Here is a 14,312-nt window from a genome sequence, read left to right as displayed (position 1 = left end):
AGTTCAGCCAGACTTCTTTTTTTCTGTCCTTCTATGTCTTCATTTTTTACCTTGCGGTTTTATTTTTAAATGTTGCCAATTTCAAAACTTCTTTTTTTAATCAAATTCTTCATTCAGTACCTATTTTCTGGATGTTGCTCTTTAAAATTGTAATTGCCAATTTTGGTCTGATCCTCATCTAGCTTTAGAAAAGCTCCTCTACCAAGAAGGAGAAAAAACTACCGATTAAAATCTAACCTGACGGCCGGGCGCGGTGGCTCACGCCTGTAATCCCAGCACTTTGGGAGGCCGAGGCGGGCGGATCACGAGGTCAGGAGATCGAGACCATCCCGGCTAAAACGGTGAAACCCCGTCTCTACTAAAAATACAAAAAATTAGCCGGGCGTAGTGGCGGGCGCCTGTAGTCCCAGCTACTTGCGGGCGCCTGTAGTCCCAGCTACTTGGGAGGCTGAGGCAGGAGAATGGCGTGAACCCGGGAGGCGGAGCTTGCAGTGAGCCGAGATCCCGCCACTGCACTCCAGCCTGGGCGACAGAGCGAGACTCCGTCTCAAAAAAAAAAAAAAAAATCTAACCTGACTTTGGAGCTAATGGATAGAAAGCCATGTTGAAAATCAGTTTAGAATTGTGAGAAAACAACAGACTGTGCATTTTACGCAAAATTTGTATAAGCCTGTGAGCTTCAGGGGAATGGGCAACAACAGCCAAATTTCATTTAAGAAAAAATAAATAAGAAAATTAGTGTCGTTTTGTTAAATTTAAATGCAACTCGTTCAAGGTTTCAGAGACCCAAAACTTCTATTATATTTCCTTAGTAAACTCATACGATCTTTCTTCTAAAAGGGAAAGCTGCTTTGTTTCTAACACACCCTAACCTTAGTCTCTATGCGTCAACTCTCTTACTATTTCTTCAGTAAAGCATATATCCTCACGCCTACAAATAAAACAAAGTGAGATACAAACTCCAATGCTTTTTTTTTTTTTTATGTCTCCCAGGCTGGAGTGCAGTGGCGCAATCTCTGCTCACTGCAAGCTCCACCTCCCGAGTTCACGCCATTCTCTTGCCTCAGCCTCCAGAGTAGCTGGGACTACAGGCGCCCTCCACCACGCCCAGCTAATTTTTCTATTTTTAGTAGAGACAGGGTTTCACCGTGTTAGCCAGGATGGTCTCCATCTCCTGACCTTGTGATCCGGCGGCCTCGGCCTCCCAAAGTGCTGGGATTACAGGGGTGAGCCACCGTGCCCGGCCTAATATTTTGTATTTTTAGTAGAGACGAGGTTTCACCATATTAGCCAGGATGGTCTGGATCTCCTGACCTCCTGATCCGCCCGCCTCTGTCTCCCAACAAACTCCAATGCTTTTAAGCCATTTTAGATACATGAGTCACTGGATAGCTGCTAAATATTAACCTGGGAGTGATGGTTGATTCTTTTGAAAAAGAAATAGTCAGTGTCAATGTTTCTGTAACAGAGACCAATAAACTGGAGAAAGGCTGATAATTATCTACAAATTGTAGTCCATGATAAAATTCTTACTGTTTAATATTTTTAGGTTTGACATAGAAAATATATAATAAATCCAATTAACACATTCCAAACAAAACATTCTTCTTTCATTAAATGACATGTGATATATTTAACATGATGTCTTTCTAAAAATATATATTATAAATAAAAGTTCAAAGAGGTATGTGATCATTTTTTAACTATGACAAATATCTACTTTTCTTCAGTGTTTCCAATATGACAGTTTGTTGTTCACTTGATCGTTATCTCATTTAATCTTCAAAACTGTCCCATAACCATTATGATAATTTTGCCAATTACTGAGAAGTCATATAGTTTGCTTGTGTAGTTGATAAATACTTCCTTTACACGTACTTTTCTCTTGTTAGACTCACAAAAATCCGAAATAGTATCATCATTTCCATTTTGTAGATTAAGAAACATAGAGATACTCGCTGAAATGCAAATAAAATTTTGATATTCTGTATTAACATCTGCTTTAAAACTTCGAACAATTGCTACCTCTCATACTTAACACTCACTTGATGTGTAATCCAATGATATTAGAACCAATTGTACTATATAGATCATTTCCTTTTCTGTATTGAATAATAAATTGGAGTGTACCAAAAGTAATTAATAGTCTTCATGGTAAAGATCGGCAGTAAATTGAAAGATTCTTTAAACTTTGAGCTTATTCATTCTTCCATTGAACATTGATTACCAGGAGAGCCTGTGATTTTAATGGCATTATACATAATAATTTCAATTTAAATGAGATTTTGAATATTTTAATAAGCTATGTAGTATTTCCAATAGAATCTATAATTGACATCTCAAAGAAAAACTTTCCTTTTATGCTTTTTATGCTTGAACAAGTTTCTAAAGAGCATTTATATAAAATGCATTTTAACATTTTAATATTGATATTAATGTTTGACACCAAAAGTTGGTAAATTCAGTTTTCCAGAGTACTACCTTCTTCAAAGTGAAACGTTAGAGACCATATTGACCCAAATAAATAGGTCAGAATTTCAAAAGAGTTTTCAAACTATCGTTTAATTGCTCTGAAAAATCTTTTCTTTTGTATTTGTTTAGTGTAAGACTTTCATTCCCATCAGTGCACAAACTTACTCTTTGAAATAGCCAAAAGCTACTGTGATTTATTTATAACACTCTAATACAGTTGACCCTTGAACAAAATGAGGATTAGGAGTGCTAAACACCATGAAGTCGATAATTCATCTATAACTTTTGACTCCACAACAACTTAACTTTTAATAGCCTGTTGTTGACTGGAAGGCTTACTGATAAAATAAACAGTCAATTAATACATATCTTATATGTTATATGTATTAAACACTAAGTTTTTACCAGAAGATAACCTAGAGGATGTTACTAAGAATATCATAAAGAAGATAAAATGTTATTCATTAACTGGAAGTGGATCATTATAAAGGTCTTTGTCCTTATCATCTTCACCCTGAGTAGGCCAAGAAGGAGGAAGATAAGTTGGTCTTTCTATCTTAAAGATAGCAGAGGCAAAAAAAAAAAAAAAAAAAAACTTGTAAGTTGACCACAGTTCAAACCCAAGTTATTCAAGGGTCAACTGTAAATGGCAGTTATGTTACTGAATTGGGTTTGAAATATTAGTCATTATTAGTGACATCAGCTAACATCAGCTGTGTTATATCCAGTGTACCCCAAGTCTTATATCCAGTGTACTCCAAAATTCAGTCCAATTTATATATTTACTCCCAAACTTGTGATTATGCTAAGATTGGTGTCTGATTATAATTGAATAAATTATTAATAAAGCAATCATTCTAATTCTTCTCTGAAATATTCATATTTCATAAAATATATTTAATTAAACTTTTAAATATGTTATTTGCAAAATTGGAAGACACAGTGTAGGAAAAATATTGACAAATTAAATTTACCCTTGCTAGATTTTTACCAGAAGTTAATGTTTAAAAAAAAAATTCAATATCAAACAAATGTGGTAGAGGTCAAAGTATCTCTTCTCTCTCAATGAATACATGTAGAAGAAAGACTTCAGAGAATATTTTAAATTGACAGATCTTAAAATGTTACCATTGTGATAATGAAAAAACATTAATAAATTCTCTAGACTAAAAAAGACAAGTGGGCCGGGTGCGGTGGCTCACGCCTGTAATCCCAGCACTTTTCGCCTGAGGTTGGGAGTTCGAGACCAGCCTGACCAACATGGAGAAATCCCCATCTCTACTAAAAATACAAAATTAGCTGGGCGTAGTGGCTCATGCCTGTAATCCCAGCTACTCAGGAGGCTGACGCAGGAGAATTGCTTGAACCCGAGAGGCGGATGTTGTGGTGAGCCGAGATCACGTCACTGCACTCCAGCCTGGGCAATAAGAGCAAGGCTCTGTCTCAAAAAAAAAAAAGACATGTGATGCCCTTTTTTTGAGAATCCTGTGTTCCAGAGATGCCCACTGAGATTGAATTCCTTGGTGTGCCAACAGAGAGGCAAACCTAGGGTAGCTCTCAAATTAAATAAGCAGGAGGCCACTAGCATGAGATGGTCTCCCATATTTTGAGTTCCTAAGTACAAACCGCAACCTAATTTGGGATTATAACAAATGGCTACATCTTGGCCATCACAAACAGTTGGGCTTCAGCCGTTCACAGGCAGCCCACTCTTCACACCATGCCCAAATTAGGCAAACATCTAGCTGTGTGTAGCCAATCAGGTGATTTCCCTACTTCACATCTGTGTTCTTTCTGTGAAATGAAAGTTGATTAGTCACATTGCTAGGTGGAGCTCTTGGAACCTCTTCTAGTTCTGAGTGCTGCCTAATTTACAAATTGTTCTTTGCTCAAGTAAACTCTACTAAATTTCATTTGCATTAGGTTTTTTTTTACAACACACCAGATTCAGTTCAAGCAATTTAGCATTAACTGAGAGGGACCACTTACATCACAGCTATTTTTACATCAATGACATTTTATATGTCCATGAGAAATCCCATATCTCTGAGACAAAAGGTTGAGGGGAAGGAAGAAAGAGAATCAGAGCAATATTTTATGTTGACAGAACTTACATTTTTAAATTTTACTTGGTTTGGAAAGGACACTAGAAATCAAAAACAAGTACTGTCACTGTTTTTCTTATTATTAATCTTTTTTATAGAGATAAACTGCTATACCTTACATAGACGATGCCACTTTAATGCCATCTCTCAGGAAATTTCTGTAAGGCCTGGATCCTGACAAAAATTCAGACCAACCTTTCAACAAATGCTTCCTCAACAGTACCACCTCTGATTCTTTTTTTTTTTTTGAGACTGAGTCTCACTCTATCACCCAGGCTGGCTGGAAGTGCAGTGGCGCGATCTCTGATCTTGGCTCACTGCAACCTCCACCTCTCAGGTTCAATGGGATTACAGACATCCACCACCATGCCTGGCTAGTTTTTGTATTTTTAGTAGAGACGGGGTTTCACCGTGTTGGCCAGGCTGGTCTGGAACTCCTGACCTCAATTGATCCTCCCGCCTCGGCCTCCCAAAGTGTTGGGATTACAAGTGTGAGCCACTGCGCCTGGCTGTGATTCTTAAATTCAACATTCCAGCCACATTTTAATTACAATTTTCAAGCACCCCATTAATCTCACCTCGAGATCTTAGCATTTTTTCCCTTTATCTTGTAGTGTTCTTTCTTCATCTGGTTAATAATCATGTATCCCTCCTATCTGAGTTTCTAGGTCATTATACATAGAAAACAATACTTAATGACTCATAACATCTGTTAGTTGATCTAGTTTACCCCTTCCCTGTGTTTATCTCTATCATAGCATTTATAGCTCTTGGCTGTAAATCTCTTTACGTGCCAGGTTTCACAAATATTGTGTAACTATAATGAAAGCTGAGACTGTGTATGGCATAACGCTGTCTTTCTAGGGTGGCACAATACCTGGTACATAATTGGAAATTGATTAATACATTTTGGATGTATGGCAGATTACCAAGGTGACTTACACAACTATCAACACCTTTTTTTGGTAAACCCATTGAGTTTTAACAAAAGACTTAAAGGAAACTGTCTCTAACTTCCTTTGGTGTTTGACCACGTAAAGAGAAGACATGTGATTTCAAACACATGAAAGAGTCTTTTAATATTTGGCCCAATAAGAACCTTGAACTTATAAAAAAAAAACTTTGGAAATTATGTAGTTTCATTTTCTTAGGGATTTTCTTAGGGGGCGAAACTAAGCAACAAAGGAAGTATGTAATATATCAAAAAATCAAATCATTAGTAATTGACAGATCAAACATAAAAAGTCAGCCTCGAGTCCAGGTTTGGTGACCCCAACTTTTTTCAGAGACTATTGACCTATTTATTTAGTAACGACAAGATTATATAAAGTCAAAATTTCTCAATTCTTGTTCCAACTGGATCAGTTGCTAGTACCATAATTACAAGCTGACCTGGGCAGATTTGATTCAAATGTCAAATAAGAATAATATCATTTTCATTTTTTAAAAGTTATGCAATAGATTTTTTTATTGCAACTTATCTAACACCTTTCTAGTTTACAGTAGAATTTATTCCTCCTACTTCTATGAATGTGATTGCTTTGCATATGTTTCAGTTTGATCAGAGTTAAGAAGAGTATAAGGTAGTAGACTCTCCAAGAATTACCTTGTGTGTGAATACAGTTGTGTGCTGATAGCTACAGTAATCACCCTAATTTTATTGGCCAATTTTCTTACGCTTAATAGAGAATCTCCAGCATTTACTCAATTCCCACTCTAAAAGTTTTCAGAGAGTATTCTCTACAGGATCACAAATACCTCCACTACAGTTAGTCATGTTCAGTGTTTGAGCTGCTCTCGTTACATGTGTTAGATTTCATGGGGATTTGCTAATGCTCCTGCTGTCATCAGTTTCTTAAAAATGTAGCCCATGCTCCACCTGCAACCACTTTCTTTATGAAATGCATCACTATTGTGCAATTCACAATGGTCTCCTACCACAGATGTAGATGTACATACATAGAGTTAATCTAATTTGTACAACAAATTCTACTTGCTACAATCAATAAGATAAATGAATTGAACTAAATTGAACTAAATAAAGATTAGACTGATCAGAACAGATCTTAGCCAAAAGGCCAAAAGGCAATTAAGCAGAGATTAAATAAGAATAATACCCAGTGCAATGAATCGAGCCCAATGGTGGAACCACAGACTCCAAGTCCATATCCTCAATCTTTCAGCTTTTTCATTGTGTGATTCTGGGCAATTAACTTTATCTGTCTCTAACTCAGTTTTCTGGCTGGTGAAATAGAGGTAAAAATTCCCTCATAGCTTTCTAATTTCCCTCATAGCCATGTTATTAGATTTAAACCAGTTAATATTTCTAAAATGCTTAAAACAATACCTGTCATACAGTATTTTTAAAATGTTTTTTTAATTGGCTTTAAGTGGACATCTGTAAAAATTCAGTAACAGGACTGTAAATTAATATTCTGCAAAATAACTATAAACATTGCGACAAAACACTTCTGCCCTAAAATTGATATAGGCAATACCATGTTAGCTCTATTAAGTGTATTTTTGTCAGCAGATTTATTATAGATTTTAATAACAGAATACTGCAAATCATCAAGCAGGGATATAGTATGCATTGTTTCCCAGTTTACTTGTGAAATCCTTTTTTTCATAAAGATTTTATTAAGATCTTTCATAACTTGTGCACATAATCTTTCATAAGAACACAGATGGGAGATTTTGCCTTAAAATATTGTGCTAATAAGGAATATTTCTATATTATACACTACTATACGCAAGATTTATAAATTATCATCAAGAAATTTTTGCTATGTTAATTACAATGTCTCCCAGTGTAAAAGTTATGAATAATGCACTTACAATGCATAGAAAAAACAAGTATAGATCAGAAATAACATTTATCACTTTTAACACTGAAAATTATTGAACTATATATTCTCGAAGTATGAAATAGTCTGGTTTTCCAGATATATGGAATACACCAATGGAAATTAATTAGAGTTAAATACAATTCAGCTAGTACGCAAACCAGTTCAATTCTGCTTGCTTTTATATCATCTTTAGAAAAATAGTAGGCTATAGCTTTTGAAATAATTTTCAAGTAAATTTAGTTCACATTTAGTCACAGTTTAATAATCCTTACATTATTAAATGTTAAATAGATATTAACATATTTCGGTATGAAGACTGTGAGTTAAAATTTTTTTCCTGATTTCACTTAGGCAGATAAAAAAACATACATTTATATTGGTATTATTCAACAATAAAAGCTGGGATATTGAAATTTCTACTTATGTTAATTTACCATCATTTAATATCCTACATTATAATTATAAAATACATAGTGTAAAAAGTGAAAACTAAATTACTTCCATATATAATAAATATTTTATTGGTATTTTAAGCTAAAATGTTCTATTTTTGTGTTTGTCATTATTGCATTTGAGAATACAGTTTATCTAACAGACTCACACATGTGATGAACAGTACAGTTCCTAATGTTAAAAAAACTAACATATAAATATGTATTCATGAGTGCCTATATGTGTATATTTGAACATATTTGCACAAAAGCTCATAGAACATTTTATAATACTTTTATGTGATCTTTACAAATAAAATGTATACATAGCATTTTTAAAGCATTTCTATTCTTAATATAGACATTCAAAATTCATCAACTCAACAAGAATTCTCTATCAATTAGGTACATTATAATAATTTTGTTAACTATTTTTGGTCACATTTTAACTACTGCTGTAAATAATTGAGTGGTAAATAGTATTTAATTATTCTTTTTCACAGGCAGAAAGTACAGTTAATCAGTTACAAATGAAAAGTTTCACTATGGGAACCAATTATCCAAACATTATAAACAGTAAGATCAGATTATAGATTTGAGTTTCAGGTTTTCATTTGGAAAAGATGGGATTACATAAAACATTAAGCAGAAACGAGCTCTTTTTGTTCAAACATTCTATGAATAAATTATTACACTTTGGTTTTGTTGTACTTTGCCACACTTCTCCATGCTTTATTTCATGATCTCTCTTATGGTTGAAAGGAAGAGTCCATGTGGTTAACTTTTCCATCATATTGTAAATACAAATGCCATGTTCTATTTGGGTACATAGTTCTCTATCATCATTATTTACATCAACCTCAGTTTCTTTGATTACATTTTGCTCATTTCCTTCTAACGAATTGTATTCATTCTAGTTTGCTGATAATTCAACCTCTATTTATTCTGAAAATATTACTGATATTACTAACAGCTCATTTCTAAGACCTATTTCTCAATTTCCATACCCTTGTTAAGCAAAATTACCCTCTTTTGTGAATTTGTGGCTTACTTAATATGTGGCTTATAATGCACACATACAACTCAAGTACCTTTCAATACTTTCCTAGCTGAGCTTAAAATCATATATGCATAAAATTATGCTTTATACATGTTTACAGTATTCTTCATGAGGTATTTAGCATATGGGGAAGAAAATTAGTGCTTGAGTTGGTTTAGTACATCCAAAAGTTTTAGAATAAATATCCGAGAAAAGCTGAACCATAATGTTCTCCAAGTTTATCCAAAGTGAAGTAAACCACTAACAGAAAGATAAATATTGCATGATTTCACTTATATGTGAAATTTAAAGAGTTGTTCTCATAGAAGTAGAAAATATAATAGTGGTTACCAGAGGATTTGGAGGTTATGAGAATGAGGGATATGGTGAGAGCTTGACCAATATGTACCAAGCAATTGTTAGGAGAAATAAGTTTTGGTGTTCTATTATATACTGGAATAACTGGAGTTAGCAATATTTTATTGTATATTTCAAAATACCTGTAAGAGTGATTTAGGTCCTCATCACAAATAAACGATAAATGTTCAAAGTGATAGATATGTTGATTACCCCGAGTTGATCATTACACAATGCATACATGTATTGTAACAATAGGTTTACCCCATAAATATGTAAAATTATTATGTGCCAATCATAAATTTAATAAATAAATAAAAGCTACGGTAATTATTAAAGTAATAGCTTCCAAGTTTCATATATCATTTTCTTTAAAAAGGAGGAATGTCATGTCAGATTATTATTTTTTCTTTGTTAATCTAACTAATAGCTTAACAAATCCAATTTCTGGTCAGTTACTGTTATCTAAAATCTGATCTAAAAAGAACGTAAAATGAAGCTGATTTTTAGTGCTAACGAATTAGCTGTCGGTAGAATCAATTGATATAAAGTGAAATGATACCTGTGTTTCCAAGATGGCTTTTTCAGTTGTTACCGTCATAATGCAATGTTTTTTAATATCGATTAGATGAAAAAACTATGATTTTTATAAAGTTTATAATTTTAAAAAAATTAATTTTTATGGGTACATAGCAGGTGTATACATTTCTGGGGTACATGGGATGTTTTGATACAGGTATGCAATGTGAAATAAATATATCACAGAATGAAGTATCCATCCTTCAAACATTTATCCTTTGAGATACAAACAATCCAATTTCATTAAGTTATTTTAAAATGTACAACTAAGTTATTATTGACCACAGTTACCCTGTTGTACTATCAAATAGTAGGTCTTATTCATTCTTTTTATGTTTGTCTGTGCCCATTACCCATCCCCGCTTCCCTACCCCCAGGCCTCCCCTACCCTATCCAGCATCTGGAAACCATACTTCTACTCTCTGTATCCATGAGTTCAATTGTTTTGATTTTTAGATTCCACAAATAAGTGAGAACATGCAATGTTGGTCTTTCTGAGCCTGGCTTATTTCACTTAACATAATGATCTCCAGTTCCATTTATGTCATTGCAAAAGACGGGATCTCATTGATAATAGTTAGAAAAAAAATCATGGAGCATTGTAACTTCAGTTGGTATATTTGCCTCTTTTTTGACATTAAAACAGGTGATTCCAACTCTCTCCATTTTAAATTAGACATAAAAGTTAAATTTATCTCCACCTTGCAAAGTATTTTGATTTAACTCCCAAGCAGACAGATGGATAAGATGTGATTTCATGTAATTTTGGTTGTTGTATTCTAATTTGAGTTTACAGTTTAAAATCACATTGAAAAATCTCCCTCTTTTTTTAGTCAAATACAGTTACAGAATTTTAGGTCATTAAAAGAATTGTGGCCGGGCGCGGTGGCTCACGCCTGTAATCCCAGCACTTTGGGAGGCCGAGGCGGGCGGATCACGAGGTCAGGAGATCGAGACCATCCTGGCTAAAACGGTGAAACCCCGTCTCTACTAAAAATACAAAAAATTAGCCGGGCGTAGTGGCGGGCGCCTGTAGTCCCAGCTACTTGGGAGGCTGAGGCAGGAGAATGGCGTGAACCCGGGAGGCGGAGCTTGCAGTGAGCCGAGATCCCGCCACTGCACTCCAGCCTGGGCGACAGAGCGAGACTCCGTCTCAAAAAAAAAAAAAAAATAAAAAATAATAAAAAAAATAAAAAAAAAATAAAAAATAAAAATAAAAGAATTGTTATTTTTACCTAGATTTCCAGATCACTGGTTGATAACATTTCAAATTGAGTGAGTAAATAGACTTTGGTTTGTCAGGAATTTAACTATTACTTTCAGGCTACTGATTCTAAAATGTTTATATTTATATTTAGGTTCACTTCCCTGTTCAGTTTCCATGTCAGTCTGGATACCTAAAAAGTTAATCTTTCCATCTTGAGCATGTGATTTTCTTATTTAAAATCAAATATTTACAGTACAATAATATAGTAAAAAGTGAAAATGGGAGACACATTTTGTCTGATGTAAGCATTTGCATCCGTAACTACTTTGTATTATTCTCAATATGTTAGTTTGCCTAAGAGAAAATAAAAGTAAAATCTGTTGTATTTTAAAATACACTTAGACTTTTCATTCAAAATAAACACTATTTATTACTAAATTTATAAGAGTACTCTTAATCAAATTAAATCTGTATAACATTAATAAAATTCTGCTAAAGCATAACATAAAGTATACCAATAGAAAATGTACAGATGAATAAATTTACAGAAACTACATGTAATCCAGCACCAAGACCAAAAAACATAACACCACCAATACCCAGAAACATTTTTGAAAACCTTCCAAGTCACTTCATTCTCCCAGAGGAAAATCACTTTTTCTGATTTTTTACATCACAGATTAGCTTTGTCTGGTTTTGATCTTTATACTAACGGAATCACCTAAAATGTATTATTTTGTGTATGACTTTTTTCATTCAATATGTTTGGGAAATTTGTTCTTATGTGCAGCTGTAGTTTGTTTCTTATTACTGTTTATATTCCACTATGAAAAAATAGCACAATTTATTTATTCATTCTGCTCTTGATGGTCATTTGGGTAGTTTTCAGATTTGGGCAATTATAAATAGCACTACTAAGAATATTTGTGTGTGTGTGTGTGTGTGTGTGTGACAGAATCTCGCTCTGTCGCCCAGGCTGAAGCACAGTGGCATGATGTTGGCTCACTGTAACCTCCGCCTCCCGGGTTGAAGCAATTCTCCTGCCTCAGCTTCCCTAATAGTTGGGACTACAGGCACGTGCCACCATACCCGACTAACTTTTTGTATTTTTAGTAGAGACGGAGTTTCACCGTGTTAGCCAGGATGGTTTCGATCTCCTGACCTCGTGATCCTCCTGCCTTGGCCTCCCAAAGTGTTAGGATTACAGGAGTGAGCCACCACGTGGGCCAGAATATTCTTGTCCATATATTTTGCAGAATAAATGCGTGATTGCAGTTGTTATGTGTGGAGTTGCTAGGTCCTAAGGTGGGTGTGTGTCTAGTTTGAGTAAATACTGCCAAACAATTCTCAAAATAATTGTATCAATGTACATTCCTACCAGCAATATACAGAAATCAATTGCTCCACAGTCTTACCAAAAATTGTCATTTTCTGCCTCAAAAAATTATAGGCTTTATTGAATTCTGATTTTAATATGTATTTTCCTTGAAGCAGGGGTGTGGGAGTAGAAAAAAAAGTATTTTCTTTATGCCTAATAACGTTAACTGTGTATTTTAATGTGAATAAAATAAAGTAAAATACACGAAATGAAATAAAATTTTTAAAAGTGTATCTTTTTTCTTCAAGTGAGCTCCTCTGTAAAGTGAGTTCCCTGTAAAAGAAGCAAGAATTTGTTTCTTTTAAAACAATTGCACCAATAGCCATTTGGATAGTCAGGTTGTGAGGTGCAAAGTTTTTTTTAGTTAATTTTATTCTATGTCTCTCATACCCTATTGGTAGCCAAGTCTGTATTAGATGCTGAAGTTAGAAGTTAGGAAGCAAAGAGGAAACACATGTACATACTAAAAATAGATCTAAGCAAAAGTGCAAACACTGTCTCATGTCCTACAGATTGTACCTAAAAATTCCTATTTAATCAATTTTATTCTTGACATTATCATTGCAACCAACTCTCTTTAGAAAACTCTTATTATTTGACTCTAAGTTGTGTGCGGTCTTCTCATTGGGTGCCTGATTTTGCTTTTTTGTACATATAATTTTAATCTTTTCCCATAAGAACTAGACTTGGCCATGTTATTTTATTTAACCCAAGAAAACGTAAGTTGAAGTGATGTGTCATCATTCTGGGCAGACATGTTAGTGCTATTCACCTTATCTTCTGTCCCCCGCTTTTGTAATCACGGTGGCATGTTTTGAGATGTAGCTTTTGTCACCTACATTTCTCAAAGACCACAATGAGCAGAGACTTTTCACTGAAATATGATGGAAATGTATTATAAAAATAATTTAATTATTTTAATCCATTGAGGTTTGTGTGTTCCTGGTTCCTTTCACATACTCAAACCTTTTCTGACTTATAGTTTCCCTGCCAACTTCCATTCTGAAATTGCCCAAACCTTTTTGATAATAAGATAATATATTATCATCTTAATCATTTCTCTAAAGCTCAGTTCCTACTATGTCTTCAAAATATTACATATTTTCCTACAACCTGTTAAGTCAAATACAAACACTTTGGATCTAAACTTGAGATTGTTTTTATGTTCATATTTGACACTTTGACAGAAGTTGTGATATATTTTGGATATATCCAATTAGACCTGGAAAAGAACAAGTCACAACTTGGCATATCTTCTTCTATAACATTTGTTGAAATTAAAGAAAAATTACTAGTGTAGCTGCCAAGACTGGCTCTGAATCAACAGAGAAAATCTCTAAAGAGAATTACTCTTACGGGGAAAATACCGCAAACACTTATACAATCATATATACAGGGACAAATAATTAGGAATCTAGTTGAAAGACAGTGAAGTTATAAAAACTAATGGTAATCAACTTTTGACTGTGTAATCACTGTCCAGCTACAGAGTGGATAACTGATGAAAGTGGAACTCAGGACAATACCAGCATCGCGTAAGATTGGATATGCAGGTCAGTCAAGCTAAATAGGAGAATTTTGTAGAACCCCAGTTTTGGGGTTGAACAAGCAATGTGAAACAAACCATTACACAGAGATTTTATTTTTCACTTTTAGTATTACCTTCTTTTCAAACTCCTAACTAATGCATCTTAAGATTAAAACAAAATAATCTTCATTTGCTTTCTTCTTGTTATAAACATTTTTGCTAAATGTAGAGATTGATTTACTCTGTCATCAGTTGTTCTATGCTCTATTTACAGTACTTATAGTATTTTTCATTTCCACTCTTGTTATGACACTCATATTACTGTAAGTTTTCTTTACGTATTTTCTGGTTTTTGAAAGTAAGTATG

This window comes from Homo sapiens, chromosome 13, assembly GCF_000001405.40.
Source record: "Homo sapiens chromosome 13, GRCh38.p14 Primary Assembly".
Taxonomy (NCBI): domain Eukaryota; kingdom Metazoa; phylum Chordata; class Mammalia; order Primates; family Hominidae; genus Homo; species Homo sapiens.
The sequence above is the reverse complement of the archived record's forward strand: the minus strand, read 5'-3'. Positions refer to the sequence as shown.